Consider the following 16931-nt stretch of genomic DNA (forward strand, 5'->3'; position numbering starts at 1 on the left):
GAGTTCTTTCTCTGTCATGTCTCTGCTCCAATAAGGAGAATGCAAAATGTCAACAAAACAAATTCCAAAAAAAGCAGCATGCACATAAACACACTTGAATCCTTCCTAATGTATCTTGGGACTCCTCTTTGATCCTCTAATTTTCCACAAACTCTTAGGCATGTTTTGTTTTAATAAGTGATAAATACTAATAACCCAACATCTAATCCAAACACCCATTCTCCTCCCAGGGCAAAGGAAAGGCTATTCACAAATTTTTTAAAAGTGGAAGACAGCCATAAAATATGCCAGGATAATCCCCAAGACCGGCTACTCTCAACTTTCTCTACCTCCAATCTTGGAGCCCACCCAAGGGCAAGAGTGGCCTGGAGACTCGCTATAAAATGTATGTGACCACCACAATGGAATTGCTTTGCCAGACATTTTTACTAATGAATCTCATAGCACGGAGACAGATCCCATATAAGGAGTTAAGCAGGTTCATTCTCCTCCACGCTGCCCCTTCACCTACCAGATAAGCAAGGCAAGTGCCCCCAGTTCCATGGAAGGAGAGCAGACCACAAAAAGGTTAGAAGGCTCAAGTCCTCTTTCCAGGTAGCTGGGAGGATGTAATTGGTGAGGCAGGAGATTAGAAATATCGGCAGCCTCTAAGTAAGACTTTAATTTACTGGCAGATCAATAGAGCCGGGGTTATATTGGCAAAGTGTCTACAGCTCTATTGACTCACGCAATGCCTCTTATCAATTTATCAGAAATCTGGAAGTCAGAAGATATTGTTTGAAGGGAAAAGAGAAAAAAAAAAAGAAGAAGAAACAGGAAGCATGAGTCCAGAGCTAGAGCAGTTAGAAACTAGGGTCCCCAATGACCAACTTGCTACCAAGAGTTTCGTACCAATGTGTCTCCTGCAAAGAAGGCTAATATGATACATTTGGAGTTAACCTGCCTCCCTTGCACGCCCCTCTCAGCCTTCTCAGGGATTCCATTTTCCATAAACCTTGTACCCTGGGGAGGGGGTGAATCCTACTGAAGCTGGTCTGGGATTTTTGTTTTGTGTTGTGTCTTAGCAAGGAGCAATTCCTTCCTTAGGTTCAGCCATACTCGTCCAAGTTACAGAAGATCCACACTTCTCCACCCCTTGTGTGGTTTCCTGCTACCTCTCCATTCTACTGCAGCCAGAATTCCTAGCCTTGGCTTCTTTCTTACCAATCCATAAAAAGATTTCTTTTTAGGTAAATAGGATATTTATCTCAGCATCCCAATACTCCCAAGAGGTCACAAGGATCTATCAGACTAACAATGGCACTTGGTCTCAAGAAGCGTAAAGAAAACGAACTCAAGTTCTATAAATCATCACAAATGTTTTCACAAATAATTAATCTTCGTTTGAAAATGTTTTGAAATATCCCAGGTAGCCGACCAAAAAAGCCTGGCGGCGGGGGGGGAAGTAAACATTCACACTTCACCAAACCCAAATGTTCACACCAGCGAAGGAAGGAAGGACGCAGGAAAACACGAAGTTCCCGAGTGTTTCTAGCCAGTAACTCTAGGGGGCAGGTCGGGGAAGAAAGAGAGGGTTTGGAGCATTCCAGGTATCAGGAGGCCAAAGGGAAAAGCGATTTTCCTTGGTTTGGAGGAACCACAACCTGCTTTTGATGATCCATTTTGGTCCCTGCCTCATACAACAAATTTCTGCTTAATTGCTGTTTTGCATTTCGTGGAGACATCGAGTAAACAGTACTTAAGTGTTTCCAGACAAAAACAATAACTCACTAATGACTAAGGCACTGCTAATTAAAATGCCCCCATGATGGCGTGACTGGACTCAGAGCCACCACAGCAAACAGAACGAGCTGGGCCTTGAATGCATGAACCAGAACGCGGGCGTGCAGGGCGGAAGATCCTCTGCTCCTTTCTCTGCAGGTCACCACGGGCCCTCTGGCTGAAAAGAAGGCCCACTGTGACCCTTGCTAGAAGGAGAGGGCAGAGGTGTGGAGAGAATGGGAGGAGTTAGAGTGGGGAAGGGGGGTGAAGGCACTGAGATTTCAGAGGGAAGGCAGCACCCCAATAGAATGCACATTCTAGAACCTTATAAGAGTAAGTGGCCTGGCATTGCCTCAAAACTTTATGAGCTCCTGAGAGCCCCTAAAGAAAAAAAAAATGTGTCCTACTCTAGTAGGGAGAAAATAAGAAGATGTGTTAAAACTGGCCAAATAGGCTGGGCGCAGTGGCTCACGCCTGTAATTGCAGCACTTTGGGATGCCGAGGAGACAGGGAGATCCTGTCTCTACAAAAAATTAAAAAATTAGCCAGACGTGGTGATGCATGCCTACAGTCCGAGCTACTCGGGTTGCGGGACTGAGGTGGGAGGATCGCTTGAGCCCAGGAGATGGAGGTTGTAGTGAACCATGATTGTATCACTACACTCCAGCCTGGGCGACTGAACAAGACCCTGTCTCAAAAAACACAAACAAAAGCAAAACAAAAAAACAAAAACAAAAACCTGGCTAAAGACCCTTTCCTAGTGACCACAGTCATACAAGGCATCCATTCCTAACTACCCTTTTAAAAAGAAGATTCAGAAAGAACAAAAAAACCAGAGGTATACTCGACCACCTGCCCAGTGCTAAAGGATTTCTCAACGCCATAGTCAGACTTCACGAGCGCATGCGACAAAGTAACAGGAACCTAGAAAACTTCTCTTCGTCCCCAAAAAGAGACCAAAATAACTAGCCTTCCCCAGAGCGGGCAGCTTTCCTCTTCAGTGCTCTTCAACTTTCAGTCCTACAGATGGGGGCCTCCCAACATCACTTTTTAAAGCTCAGCATTTAAAAAAAGAACAGGAAAAAAAAAAAGTAGAGACATCCCAGAGTCCACACGCTTGCAAAGGACTTTCTTTTCCTCCTCCTCCCCCCAGCAGGTTAAAGACCTGCTAGTTAGCAACGAGAGCGGATGGAGGACAGTCATTGGAACCACAGGGGCCTAATACCCATTTGTATTCACACTCAGACCCTTTAAGCATATAAAACCGGAGAGGTTGAACTGTTTACATTCACCTAATGCTCCAGTAAACAAATCAGAGCCCCAGTGGAGGGGGTTTCAGGCAGGGCTGCGGCCAGACCCCACTGGGTGCCAGGCAGCAGGAGCAGGATGGGGAAGGAAGAAGGTAGATGCATGGAAAACAGAAGCCAGGCTCTCATCCCAACCCACTCAAGTTTCTCCCCAAGCCTGGGCCCTCCTTGACCCCACGCGACAGGGGAGCAGCCCTTCCAGGCCTGAGCTCCACCACCCTCCATGGACAGGTGACCTCAGCTGCCAGACACCTCCTTACCCCCTACCCCCAGTACCCTGGAGCCCTGCCAGCACCCCCACATAACCCACCAATGACCTGGAGAGGAGGACAGAAGAGGAACGGCCTTGCAAAGCACCTGGAGAAAAAGGGGTTAAATGCCCAGTGTCTGACTGAGGGAGAAACTTCCCCTCCCTTCCAGGCGCCTCCGAGGGTTCGTCCTCAACTACTATTGTTATTCAAGAACTGCGTCTTAGCTGAGCAGCTCCCCCGCCGCCCCCCAGCACTGGGTCTTGACAGAAGTGAAGCGGGGCTGCCTGGTGTCCCAGCACAGGGCCTGATCATATCCTCTAAAACGTGAACAGTTTCAACTTGACTGGGGGGAAAGGGGGCAGGCGGGGGGTGGGGGGGGACTGGCACTCCTTTTAAATGCAGATTTGAACTTTTCACCCGGGGTCAGACAGCTGCGATGCTCTGTCCCCAGCAGAGGCCAGCGCCGGGGCCCCTTCCACCTCACACTTTCACAGTTTTTTTCCTGCCTGCCAGGAGGCCAGCCTGTTAAAGGAATTCGATACCTCCCTCCCTCCAAACCCAAATCCACACCCGCTTCTCAGCTTACCAGGGGCACAAATCCCACTGGCATCCTAGAGGAGAGCCTCAAATCGTAGGAGGCTGGCTGGGTGCTCTGGGAACAGCAATGGCAAAGGAAAATTGTTGTTGTCACATGTATTGACCAAGGAACGCTAAGGTCAACAGTGAGAAGACTCCAGGACTTCCCGGCCGCTCTGAAAGCATCTGAAAGCAGCATCTTCTCTAGGGTACATTTCACAGTGGCGCTTTCTGCTAGAAGCCAGCAGACAGTTCTCCTTGCTATTTCACTGAGAAGAGCTGTAATGGTACCAAGGCTGAAATCATTTAGTTTTGAAAAGAAGTCACTTCTGGGTGAACAAGAAAAACTGTAACGAACTTAAAAAAAAAAAAAAGTCTAGGATGGGACTGCTTGCCTCCATTACACCCCTGATTCTCATGGACAAGGTTGTTTCTGAGTTTTCCATGTCACCCTCTGTCCCTCCATTTCTCCTCCTCCAATGGGAGACGCCCACTGGTCCTCGACTAGGGAAGGTTTCCATTCCGCGGCATCAAGATAAGGCAAGAAAGCAGAAATCCAAATAAACACTAAGAGAAGAAGGCGAGGGGAAGTTTCTTGCTGGAATCGGTGACCCTCCCAACAGTGGCAGCTCCTACAACTCTCATCTTGGGGGGCACTAGAGCCTCTAAGAGAAAGTCCCCTCCAAGCAATGCACCACACAGTCCCTGGACTAGCCAAACCGGAAGCCTGTGTGTGTGGTGCTAGAAATGACTGTGAAGTCAGAAAAACCACACCAATTACCTACAGGTAGAAGGTTCTAGATTCATGCCTTCCTCCTGCCCCAAACTAGCAACCCACCACGGAGAGGGTGAAACGAGCATTTCTAGAGGCTCCCTGCAGCCCTGTCTGTGATTTCAGTAATATACATGAAGCAGTAAGTCTGTTGTAACAAACACACTAGCACTCACAGGAATGAATGAGAGTGGGGCTGTCCCCTGAGGAGGTGGCCCGTGCCTTGCTGCCACTGCTGGTCTTCTGCCTCTGGGAAGGTTTTCACAGTCAGGTGAGCACCCCCACCTGTACGCCAGGAAGCAGTTTACAGAACACTGGCACCCCAATGTCACAGTTCTATCTCCTAACAATCTCATGAGCATGTCGGGGGAGCCAGGCATTTCTGACCAAACCCGCTGTGTGCAGACTGAGCCTGCACCCATTCCCCAGTAAATGCAAGCAGCTGGTCACAGGGGTGATGGCTGACTTGGCTCCATCAACAGAATGTCTCAGAAGAGCACAGGGCAGCAATCTTTTATTCCAGAGCTGCACCATCCACTAGGTAGCCACCGACCCTTGTCACTACCGAGCCTGTGACATGTGGCTTGTCTCGATAGAGATGTGCTGAAGGTATAAAAATACAGGACTCCAAAGATTTGGTACAAAAAAAAGGGATGTAAAATATCTCATTAATAGTTTTATTAATATTGATTACCTGTGGAAATGATAACCTTTTGGATATACTGGGCTAAATGTATTATGAAAATTCATTCCACCTGTTTCTCATTGTTTAATGTGACTAATAGAAAATCTAAAATTACCTACGTGGCTTACACTGTATTTCTACTGGATGGTCCTGTTTCAGAACCTCTGCCTGTCTTTCAACTTCAGATTCAGGCGGGATTCTAAGTGTTCTCGGATATGACTGAGACAGACTTCTCTTGTCTGTCTTGAACATCTCCCTAAAGCTACAATGTACTGGCTCCCAAATGATACTTTTAAATGGGCTGAACAATCTTAGTATCCAACAACTCACTGCCAAACTCAAGTATAAACTAAGAAAAAATAAATCACTTCTGGGACCCACAGCGTGCTTTTAAAAAATAATAATAGGCCAGGCATTGTGGCTCACACCTGTAATCCTAGCACTTTGGGAGGCCGAGGCAGGTGGATCACTTGAGCTCAGGAGTTCGAGACTAGCCTGGCCAACATGGCAAAACCCCGTCTCTACTAAAAATACAAAACAAAACAAAAATTAGCCGGGCATGGTGGAAAACCAGCCCACGCTGGTAGTCCCAGCTACTCGGGAGGCTGAGGCAGGAGGACTACTTGAACCCAGGAGGAGGAAGGCACAGTGAGCTGAGATTGTGCCACTGGATTCCAGCCTGGGAGACAGAGTGAGACCCTGTCTCAAAAACAAAATAAAAATAAGTCATTTACTGTGGTTTAATACCAGGACTACCCACGAGGCTTGTCCAAAAGTAAGCCGTCTCCTACTCCAGCCTGATTTCTTACTATCAAGAGAAGACTTCTCCCTTTTAACTGCCCTTCTGTAAAATATGCCCAGCAGGGGCCTGGTGTCCACCTTCTCCCCCACCCCATACACACATACCACACAGCACACGCGTGCGCGCGCATAGACAGACTCTCTCTCTCTCTGTCTCTCTCTCTCTCTACAACTGGGGAGGGCTGCGGGAGGAAGGTGCAGGCAGCACAGATGTGGCCCCTTTCCTATTAGAAAGTCCCTATTCTGCCACTAGGGATCACAAGGCCAGTCTCATTTCTCTATGTAAATGAACTTTTTAGCCACCTCCTCAAAGAAGAAAAGCTGCACAGATGCGGAAGGCCGGTCCAGAGGCACACAATTACAGCCATTTGCATTCCTCCAGCAGCCGGATTAGCACAGGAATGCGCTCTGCCGCTTTGTGGGGGGAAAAGGAGTTTAGGAAGAAAGGGATGGGTGGGGGGATGTATTTCTCCCTGGTCTGTCCACCCAAAGCTCTATGATACGCTTCCACTTCTGTGAGAGTCAGAAAGTGGAAATAACTCCTGCTCAGCTTCTAAAGAGGGGGAGGTTGAAAAGGCGCAGGGAGGAGGAGGGAGGTGGAGGTAGAGGGTAGAGGAAGAGGAGGGGAGAGGGGCCGGCAGGAGAGAGGGAGGAGGGGGACTGGGTGTATCAGGGGAACTGCCCCTCCCGGCGCTTTGATCCCCTCGGTCGGTCGCTAGGAGAAACCAACTTTTCTCCTTGGGTTAATCAAAACCAAATTACTCAGGAATGTGGCAGGACAGGTCTGAACTTCCAGGTCCCTTTGTCTTTGAGGATTTAAAATGAAAAAAAATAAAATTGTTAAAGCAGATGGCCGTGGCCTACTCAAGAGGTGAAGCGAAGAGTCTGAGGGAAGTCAGACCACATCTCTCACCCTCCAAAAAAACACACCCGCAAACTTCCTATGCCAATTTATTGTGAGAGAAGTTATTTTTGTAGACAACATCCAAAAATCAGAAGAACTGCCCATTTCATCCTTACTGCTGCGCAAATAAAAGACCCTCACCCCACCCTCCCATCAACTATACCTTGTCAAAGTACAAATACAAGAGAACCCCAGATTTAAGATACACCCGTATATCACAACCCGACTATTAAAAGCGGAGTCCAAACTAGCTCAAGAACATACGTTTTCCAAACACAAAGTTTGGGAGTATTTTTCAGTGTAAAGTTCTTCCTTAGGAATACTGGGGTAAGGAGGTATTCAAATATCCGGTTGCTATTCAAATGCATCCATGAAATTTCATGGTTACTGTAAAATTCTGCATCTCTTTAAGTTCTAAGAAAAGCGGTTTTTAGGGAATGACTCAGAGGAGATATGAAATGTCCCACTGAGTGACATAAGATCCCACTGCTCATCTGTCGTCTAGAAAAAGCGAAGAACCTGCCACCCAGGGCTGTTCTGTTTACTAGGAAAGTCTGCTGGGTGTGCTGGCCAGCCCGGCGACAGTTTCAATAAGTCAAGAGGCAACAGGAAAAAGCTGACCTCAGAGATGAAAGAAACCTGGGGCTTGGAGCTATATTAAGGCCTCCACACCTCCTCCCCGGCTCACAGCTCTGGCAAGCTTGTGGCACTGTACAAGATGGGGGCCTGCACTTCAGGCTCCTGGAAACTCTAGAATGCAACACCCTGGCATGTGCTATCATTAGGGACAGTAAAAAGTGACACAGCCCAGGGCACCCAGGAGCAGAAATATGAACAGCCCTTCGTGTGTTATAAAATGCTGCTATGCTTCACTGTAAAACCTGGCTGACCCCCATGTCCCCCACCCACCCAAAAAAGATAAAATAAACAAACAGAGCACCACCGGTTAAGCTATAGAGCCAGGATTCAAAAGATAAAGTGAGACCAACACACAGCCATGACTACCAGCTTGCCATAAATCGTAACTGGCCCCAGGCATACGGTTATCTGGGAAGCTGCACACCAACTTTTAAAATACTCTTCACCTTATCTTTAAGCCCAGTCAAACACACACATACATCACCCTTCTTAGATCTCGGCCATTAGTATTCCATTTAGACTTTCCAAAACAAGGTCATCCCAGAGGGTCCTTCCCCTCTTTCCAGTCACAGCTGTGGACTTTCATCCCCTTGTCCAACAAAAGGGACCTTGTACACAAAATTAACCTGAAGCATTAGTCTGTGTGGTGCGAGAGTCCACGGGGCCCTCGGGATATTGACTCCCCCACCCCCCCAACTATCCAGGCTCAGCCCAAAATCCTGTCTAGAGGGCTTCCCCACTGTGGAGGCTGGGGGAGCTTCCCTAGAGATTAGAGACCCTGCCCCTTCAGAATCCGCTTCTCAGCTGCAGCTGTGCAGCCAAGGAAGGCCTTACCTTTCAGAGAATAAACAGAAGAAAAAAACTTCCTCCCTGACTCAGTAACAGTAGAAAACGACCTGACGTCATGGCTGCAAAGGCCCAGAATCATCTGAGAACTAAGCCATCCAATATGACGGCCACAACTGCACGCGGCTTCTGAGCACTGGACATGGGGCTGGTTCTGAGCGTTGAGACCAGAACATCATGGTGAAATCGTGGGTTGCTGAAAATATCTGTTTTAAAGTTAATTCCACCTGTTTCTTTTTACTTTTTATGAATGACTACTAGGAAATGTACAATTACATATAAGCTTGTACTCTCTCTCTCTCTCTCTCTATTGGACAGCACTAGAGAGGTGCAAATGTTACCACCTCAAGTGCTAGCACATTACCATGCTCTAAAAGGAAAGACTCTTCCTTTTTATTACTATTATTATTATTATTATTATTATTATTGAGTCGGGATGTCACTCTGTCACCCAGGCTGGAGTGCAGTGGCACAATCACGGCTCAATGCAGCCTCTACTTCCTGGGCTCAAGCAATCCACCCACCTCAGCCTCCCGAGTAGCTAGGAATACAGGCGTGCACCACCACGCCCGGCTAATTTTTGTATTTTTTTTGTAGAGACAAGGTCTTGCCATGTTGCTAAGGCTGGCCTCGAACCCCTGGGCTCAAACCTCTGGGCTCAAGAGATCCTCCTGCCTCAGCCTCTTGAGTGGCTGGGACTACAGGCACATGCCACCGAGCCTAGCTAATTAAAAAAAAAAAAAAAAAGTTTGTAGAGACAGGGTCTCCCTATGTTGCCCAGGCAGGTCTCAAGCCCCTGAGCTCAAGCAATCCGCCTGCCTCTGCCTCCCAAAGTGCTGAGATTACAGGCTTGAGCCACCACACCCAGCCCAGATTCTTCATTTTTAAATGCCAAAAAGACCAGTGTAAAATTGAGCAAACAGCATCATCTGGTATCAGGTGGAATCACATACGCAGAGGCTGCTCAACTCCCAGGCTGCAGTGAAGGTGTCTAAATGGGGGGAGTGGCCGGGAACCTGCCATTGTTTTAGACCAGGAGAAGCAAATGTAACCTCTATTTCAGGTGTTCTTAACTGGAGGCGATTTTGCCTCCCCAAGGGACAGTGGGCAATTCCTGCAGACATTTTTGATTGTCACATCAAGGGAAGAAGGTGCTACTGGCATCTAGTGGGGAGATGCCAGGGATACTAAATGTCCTACAATGCACAAGGTGGCCCACTCCCCCCAAAAACAATTATCCCCAAACATCAACAGTGCCAACACACAACCAGGAAGTGACCAGGCCTGAGATCCACCCAAGTATCTCTTTTTTTATTTTTTTATTTTTAGTAGAGATGGAGTTTCACCACGTTGCCCAAGCTGATCTCAAACTCCTGAGGTCAGGCAATCCTGCCTAGGCCTACCAAAGTGCTGGGATTACAGGCATGAGCCACCATGCACAACCCAAGCAAATTTTTAATACTCAGATATCCAGGAGCAGGAGGGGACATCCCTTTGCAAAATGGCTTCTCTCCAGAGCTCGGAACTGGTCATAAGTTTGAGCGGTATAAGCAATGTGAGGAAATGAAAATACTACTAATAATTTAAAAACTATAATCGCTTTGTCGCCAGACTGGGTTGAGTGTCAAGGGTTGATTATGTCTGGGCAGCTCTGTTTTTCAAGCTAGTAGGTAAACATGGGGCTTAAAACTCAAAGCAACATAAGGCAGGCTCCCCCACAAGCAAGAGTAGGCCTCTAACAGAGAGTCTGAACTGGGGGAGTCACTGGCATGCCCAGTTCACCATGCCTGACCACACAGGCTAGGCCTGGGTGCCTGTGACAGGCAACGGAGCAGCAAAGGAGCTGTGATGGGGCCTGCAGGTATAGGAAGGGGACAGGGCAAGGGACAGGCGAGGCCAAGACAGGAAGAGCGTGGTGCTGAATGAGAACAGCCCAGCCAGGCTGGGAGGCCGAGCAGGAGGGGGTAGAGGGGAGGCACATGATAATTAACTCTGCAAGTTGATAGTATTTGCATATAAATGCCTCCACAAATCACTACAAACAAGCCAGGACAAGTCAGGCCTATTAGCATACACAAGCCAGCCGGGGAAGGCCTCTCTAGGTGGGTCATTGAGTAGGCTGCTCACTTGGAGGGCCGCCTGCCAGCCTGGGGAGGGGGACAGAAGGGGAGGGCTGGGGTGGATGGGGGACACTGTAACTATTTCAGACTCTTTCACTTCTGAACACGGTTGCAAAGATGTCAAAAGGAGTTGGCTCTATTTCCACCCCATGGGGAAGAAGAGAATTGCTGGACCTTTTAGTTTATTTCTTCCAAGGTGGTAAGAAACGAAAGGTAGCAGAGGCCATCAGTAGCAAAGAAAGAAATGAAAAGGGCGTGGAGATGGCAGCCAATATCCGGAGAAGCTTTTCAGTATGTGAAGTGGTATGAAGCCCTGATTCCTATTTCATTTACTTCCCACTACAAATGTAAGGTATGCATTAGGCCCATTTTACAGACGAAAGAAGTGAGGCCCAAAGAGGTTAAATTACTGGTCCAAAGTCACACAGCTCAGGCCTCACCAGAGGGTGTAACACTGATGGCCTCAGCAGAGGGTGTAAGGCCCATAGCAGAGGAAAGAGCAGAGGCCACCTTTCCAAAGAGTGGGCTTTTTTGATTCACCTTTGCTTCTCCCATTCACTGTTGAGTCCCCATTTGAAGGGGATTCACAAGCAGTGCTCTGGTCCTCAGCCAGACCCTGCCCTGTTTTATTCTGTAATTATTTCCTACCTTCAAACAAACAATGAGGAAGACCACACCTCCCTCCAGTTACACATCTGGGAGTCCGCACCAGGATTTCCTCTGTCACCCAATTTTTCCACTGTCTGGACAATTTTTATAGTTTCACCAGCAAGGGCAAAATATATTGACAGTCCTTTCCCACAAGGTGTAAAAGTTCTCTGCTTTCCCCAAATATACCTCTGGATTTCCTATCTGTTGAAGGAAAAACCAGCTTCGACTGCCTCCGTTAAAAAAGGGTGTGCAGGGCTGAGGTGACCCTACTACCGTCATTTCTGCCATTCTTTACTTGAACAACATTTTTTAAGTGGGCAAAATACTATCTTATGAAAAACAAACCAACAGGGGCCCAGGTAACACACATTCATATAGTCAGTTACACAGACTGAAAGTCTTCATCAATGCCCATCTCAATTACGTTATCAAATAACATAAGGGGACACTATTCAAGATTCCATCAGAACAGAGATGGCATTTAAAAGCAGTCGCTTGAGTAGTGACACCAACCTCCTGCCGCACACACTGAAATCCATGAGCCTCTTCTAAAGTGTCCAAAAGTTGACCTGACACTTTAACGCTGATGCAGATACTCCACAAAAAAAAGCGGAGCTGTTAAAAGGGAAGCAGAAACCATTCCTCCAGTCAAGGCCAAATGTACATTAAGAACCAAGGCCTTGAGCCAAAGAGCATTTTAGGAAGCAGGGCCTTAAATGGTGGAAGAGGCTTGCATTGCTTCTTGAGTAGTTAAGAACAATTGTTTAAAAAAAGAAAAAAGAGAAGTTGGGAGATGGAGAAGAAAGGCACCCATGTGTTCTTCAGCAACTTCCACGGGACAAAGATGTTGGGAAGGGAGAAGTCATCAGAAATAGGCCACTCAGGAGACTGGAAGCATGGGGAGCAGCTCAGTTCATGTCTACACATATGTGGTTTTTATAGACTTTCAGGAGTTTAAATGCTTCTGAAAAGCGATGTTTGCATACTGAAGGGAGACAGACTTCCATATTTGAACAGGCACTTATATGACTTTTTCAGGGGATGCAGGGCTGAGATCAACTATCAGATTAAGCCCCTTGGTCTTTCTGCACTCGGCTAATCTGCCTCCTGCCTCTCCACTAAGGAGATTCAAATGAGAAGACAGAGGCAGTCGCCTCTGAACTAGAATCTTCCTACTGAAATGCAGAGCCTATGATAGAAATGGGCACCGGGGACCATCTATCCAAAAGCCAGCCTAACCGATACACTCAGAAGAATTTTTCTCCAGTCACACTCCTGGATGGAGTCAGGAACAACCAAGAAACAAGCAAAACTGTTCTTTTGCCTCCTCCTTCCTGAAAGAACCCCATCAAGAAGCCTACACATGACCCCTCCAGTGTGTAAGCCCCAATCATGCCTAACCACCCCAAATCACCCCAAGTACTCAGCCCTACTCAATAACTAACACCCTCTCCCATCTACACAGAACAGCGGGTATAGGCAGTCACTGACTCCTGCCCTAGAAGCATCGGGCGAGGGGTCTCACTCCCAGATCAAAGGTTTGTGGCCAAGATAACTTTTGGGACAGTGGATGAAATCAGCAGCAGATGAAAACTCCACAGCCTTTTTCAGAGTCCAGTGGAGCCAGTTCTCCCACTTCCAGTCCAAGTCTCCCTGCAGATGACTGAAGGTGATCCATACATTCCTAACTGCTGCCCCGAAAGACCCACTTACAATTAAACTCCAGGTCACCAGTTAAGAAAGCCTTTAGGCCCCTTATGTCATTAGCTTCCTCCCAGAAACCAAGCAGAATAGAAAGTGAGAGGCATCCCAGCACCGGCCCATCTTCTCAAGGTGTGGCCTTGCAAGGGAGTTTCAGTGGCTTCATCCCAAACCACCAGCAGCCAGGAGTAGGGGTGGGAGTGCGGCAGATGTTTTGCCCGCCTCACTGGAAGCTTTAGACCTGACTCCAGGGAGGGAAAAGGATGGACAAATCTCAGAGGCAGCACATGTGTTAATACCAAAGCTCAAAGAACACACAGCAGAACCACCTAAGACCTCCAGGACACAGCAAGCCAGCTAAGGCCCCTCTGGAAAGGTACACATCAAACCCCCCACACAGTAATCCTCATGTTGAGACTGCTGTGGTGACCCTCTGATGGACAGGGAGAGGGGGTCACCCAAAAGGCAGATGAAGCCCAGGCATTTTGCTAAGAGGCCCGGGCTGGAGTTAAAACCAACAAAACAGAAGTCTTGCTTCAAAATGGGGCTGAATTTGCCATCTCGCAAACTTTCTATGTCTCCCTCCCTGTTTTTATTTGAGCCCTTATTCTTGTAAAAGCAAGAAACTCCATGAATGAAGGCTGAAAGGCAGAAACGTCAAAGAAAGAAAAAATCCCCTTTAAATGTTAAAAGCCAAAGTACTTTCCTTGGGCAAATAACTCTCTAGAGACACCCCCATCACTGCCTAGACCACGGCCTTGTCCTCACCCACCTGTCCCCTGGCCCAAAGAATGAAAACCAGAAACATTCCAGTCGTTTCCCTACTTCTGAAGCTTCAGCTCAGTGCTGCTGTCAATCGGCACTAAGCCTTGCTCTGCACCTCTGTCCTCAGTTTCTGTCCATATCAAAGTCATTTACCATATTAGCCCAAAGAAGCCCTCCAACATCTGATTGCCACTTTGCACATGTTCAAAGAGATCAATCTGGCAGTCAACTTTAAATCATAGAGAAAAGCCCTCTGACAGTTGTTGATTTTGTAGTGCTTCTCTTTAATCTGGATTTTCAAAGTGGCTTGCCAATGAGCCAAGATTTCTGCCTGGGTCTCTCCCTCGGGGCGGTTTGACACAACCGTAGCTTCTGTGTGCTCCTTTCTCAATCTGAGTGGCCTGAGGACACAGGACACTGTGCTTTGGACAGAACAGGCGCCCTTTATGATTTAAACTAGCTCCTGCCAAGGAATTCCCTTGCCTAGATTCTATTAAAACTGGGTTCCCATTTCCCCTGACCATAGTTTTTTAACTCAGGCAGAGGACGGTGGTTCTGAGCTGTGCTGTGATTTCTAATAATAACCATTACCACCAAATTCTCATACCAGAGCATTTGGATACCCCTATGAGGTTCACTGTAATGGAATCTGCCTTCCTGTTGTGTTTTTACAGTAACGCCCCCATCCTGGTTAATTGCACCAGCCTTAGGAACCAGAGCAAGCCAACAGGCCCAAACATCACAGAAATAGGCCAGGCTAACAGCAAGCAATCATTTTAATAACAAATGAAAGCATAAACCACAGCACATACTGTACTTCTTCAGGTTACTGACAGGCATCTTCAGTGTGCAGTACGAGTGAGGGTGAGATGGAGTTTATATAAGTTTGTTCAGACCAGAATCATTGCTGCCTACTTGTAAGTCAAGGCTAAATCCTTAGAGCTGAGAAACAAGTGAGTTACTCTTAAAAGGTGAGTGTTTGTTTGTTTGTTTGTTTGTTTGCTTTGAGATGGAGTTTCGGAGTTTCGCTCTTGTTGCCCAGGCTAGAATGCAATGGCCCAATCTCAGCTCACTGCAACCTCCCCCTCCCAGATTCAAGCGATTCTCCTGCCTCGGCCTCCTGAGTAGCTGGAGTTACAGGAATGCACCATCACACTCGGCTAATTTTGTATTTTTAGTAGAGACGGGGTTTCTCCATGTTGATCAGGCTGGTCTCGAACTCCCAACCTCAAGTGATCTGCCTGCCTCAGCCTCCCAAAGTGCTGGGATTACAGGCATGAGCCACCATGCCTGGCCAAAAGGTGAGTTTTATAAAGACAGCTCACTTTCTTCCCCTTTAAATAATTCAAGCCAGTTCCCTACACTTTTACAAAATGTTGCTTAGTCACTTAAATATTTACTTTTTAAGATGACACTGTTACAACTCTGCAATAAAAATAATTTCTTAAGTAAGGGTCTGCTCTGAGCCCTGAAGCATTTCCAGATTCTTACTGATACTTTGTAGGTGGAAGAAAAAAAGCTCCTACCCCTGAAAGATACACCAAAAAGGAACAACTGCACACAGTGACAATAAGGACATGTTTCCTGGATGCTAGAACTAAGCCACATCACCACTAGCCCTAGAAATACTTTTCCAGCAGTCTGTAATCACAGATTTATTCTAATGAACTAACCACTTTTGGGTCACCAAAGATGAGCCAGGCCGGTCCTGGGAGTGTCTAGCAAGCATCATTTAAAGTCATAATGATGAAAACTAAATCTCGCTTATTTTAGCTCCTTGCCACTGGGCTGTCCAATTGGCACTGAGTTGACACAGCAGTTAAATTCAACCTCAAAGCAGCAAGAAGGCAGGCACTTCACTGTCCTGGTGGGAAGAGCCAGGCAGGGGCCTGTGGAGGGCACCGTTTTAGATGGGCCTTTCCAACCCTCCCTTAACATTCATTTGTGCAAACAAAAAATGGAAGAAAAGGAACCAAAATTAAGTTTCAGGTGGTTGGGGAAGCAGCATGGATTTACATTATTATTATTATTATTATTATTATTATTATTATTATTATTATTGAATAGTTAGCAAGTGTTTCTCAATAGTTCCCTGTTCATCAACACTGTTTTCAGGAGAAATGGAAAACAGTAGCTCTATTTCATAGAAAGTACAGCCATTTCAAAAAAAAAAAAAAAAGTGGGGGGGGGTTGTTGAGAGAGGGAAGTGACCCATGTCATAAAGACAGAAGGTCTCCAAGTCACTTAATTCCTTGTGATTCTGAAAGGGCTGTTTTTAAAGTCTAAAAGTGCTCGCTTCTGCATCTGCTCCATGTTGTTAAATAACACTTGTGTAATTAAATAAAAGAGCCAACTGTGACCCCAGCCCACTCTGAGAGGCACTTTACATGCTTTCTGAAAACTATGCTGGAAACACCATGAGGAGAACTCCTTAGTCCTGTAATTTAGCAAAGGGAGAGAGAAAAAGTTTCTTTTGGCCATCATAGCTACACACTCTCTGAAAGGGTGCCTGCAGGGTCTCTGCAAAACAGAATGAACACAAATACAGGCGTGCAAACATCCAGGTATGTACCTCTCTGTGAAGACCCCATTCTTGAAACCCTTCAATTATTTGGAACCGTGGTCTCCTGACTTCCCTCACACCTCACTTTTGCCTTCATTGTTTTTCATGTTTGAGTAGCAAGAGGGATTCAGAATCTCAGGCTGCCAGTGGCTGTTCTGATAACAAGGAGCAGACTCATGTTTCTTGCTACGGCCTTTCTTGATCAGGTTACCTTGGAAGGTGTATGTTTTCCTACCCAATGCAGTCCCCACCACAGCACTCTCGTGTCCTCCTCCAGCCCAGCCTCCTGGAACTCGTGATTTTCAGGGTTTCCCTTGAAACCTATCCAGAAACCACAGCCATTAACTGAACGTGAAGATTTGACACCTCCTGAATTCAGGAATGAGGGAACTCGAGGGGCCAACTCTACAAACTCGCACCTGCTGCTTGACGGCAAGGAAACAGAGTTTCCCCAGCTAGGGTGAGCTTTAAATTATACACTATTTATTTAGTGACTTGTCTCCAAGGATCTCAAAGCATAGAGAGAAATAAGATGATGTGTAACTTTCTCACAATCTACCTTCAAGGCTTTGCCCTGGTGCATTCTGAC

At 46.9% G+C, this 16931-nt stretch overlaps 1 protein-coding gene across 6 annotated transcripts in view, besides 7 other annotated features; it reads right to left on the reverse strand.

The window, feature by feature from the left end:
• The window catches only part of ZFHX3 (zinc finger homeobox 3), a 1109046-nt gene that overhangs the window by 246961 nt on the left and 845154 nt on the right, over positions 1 to 16931 (reverse strand). The gene's annotated exons all lie outside the window — the stretch shown is intronic.
• Positions 2702 to 3264: an enhancer, noted in NCBI's record as "OCT4-NANOG-H3K4me1 hESC enhancer chr16:73066446-73067008 (GRCh37/hg19 assembly coordinates)". NCBI's record gives its function as "activates a minimal SCP1, AML or CMV promoter by ChIP-STARR-seq in naive H9 embryonic stem cells {active_cell/tissue: H9 hESC(naive)}" and the evidence as "EXISTENCE:reporter gene assay evidence [ECO:0000049][PMID:30033119]".
• Positions 2702 to 3369: a biological region, named in NCBI's record as "OCT4-NANOG-H3K4me1 hESC enhancer GRCh37_chr16:73066446-73067008".
• Positions 3200 to 3369: an enhancer, noted in NCBI's record as "active region_11102". NCBI's record gives its function as "activates an Ori minimal core promoter by ATAC-STARR-seq in GM12878 lymphoblastoid cells {active_cell/tissue: GM12878}" and the evidence as "EXISTENCE:reporter gene assay evidence [ECO:0000049][PMID:35858748]".
• Positions 5606 to 6460: an enhancer, noted in NCBI's record as "NANOG-H3K27ac-H3K4me1 hESC enhancer chr16:73069350-73070204 (GRCh37/hg19 assembly coordinates)". NCBI's record gives its function as "activates a minimal SCP1, AML or CMV promoter by ChIP-STARR-seq in naive H9 embryonic stem cells {active_cell/tissue: H9 hESC(naive)}" and the evidence as "EXISTENCE:reporter gene assay evidence [ECO:0000049][PMID:30033119]".
• Positions 6461 to 7313: an enhancer, noted in NCBI's record as "NANOG-H3K27ac-H3K4me1 hESC enhancer chr16:73070205-73071057 (GRCh37/hg19 assembly coordinates)". NCBI's record gives its function as "activates a minimal SCP1, AML or CMV promoter by ChIP-STARR-seq in naive H9 embryonic stem cells {active_cell/tissue: H9 hESC(naive)}" and the evidence as "EXISTENCE:reporter gene assay evidence [ECO:0000049][PMID:30033119]".
• Positions 10367 to 10879: an enhancer, noted in NCBI's record as "OCT4-NANOG-H3K4me1 hESC enhancer chr16:73074111-73074623 (GRCh37/hg19 assembly coordinates)". NCBI's record gives its function as "activates a minimal SCP1, AML or CMV promoter by ChIP-STARR-seq in naive H9 embryonic stem cells {active_cell/tissue: H9 hESC(naive)}" and the evidence as "EXISTENCE:reporter gene assay evidence [ECO:0000049][PMID:30033119]".
• Positions 14713 to 15213: an enhancer, noted in NCBI's record as "H3K27ac hESC enhancer chr16:73078457-73078957 (GRCh37/hg19 assembly coordinates)". NCBI's record gives its function as "activates a minimal SCP1, AML or CMV promoter by ChIP-STARR-seq in naive and primed H9 embryonic stem cells {active_cell/tissue: H9 hESC(naive and primed)}" and the evidence as "EXISTENCE:reporter gene assay evidence [ECO:0000049][PMID:30033119]".

The sequence above is a fragment of the Homo sapiens genome, chromosome 16, assembly GCF_000001405.40.
Source record: "Homo sapiens chromosome 16, GRCh38.p14 Primary Assembly".
In the NCBI taxonomy this organism is placed as follows: domain Eukaryota; kingdom Metazoa; phylum Chordata; class Mammalia; order Primates; family Hominidae; genus Homo; species Homo sapiens.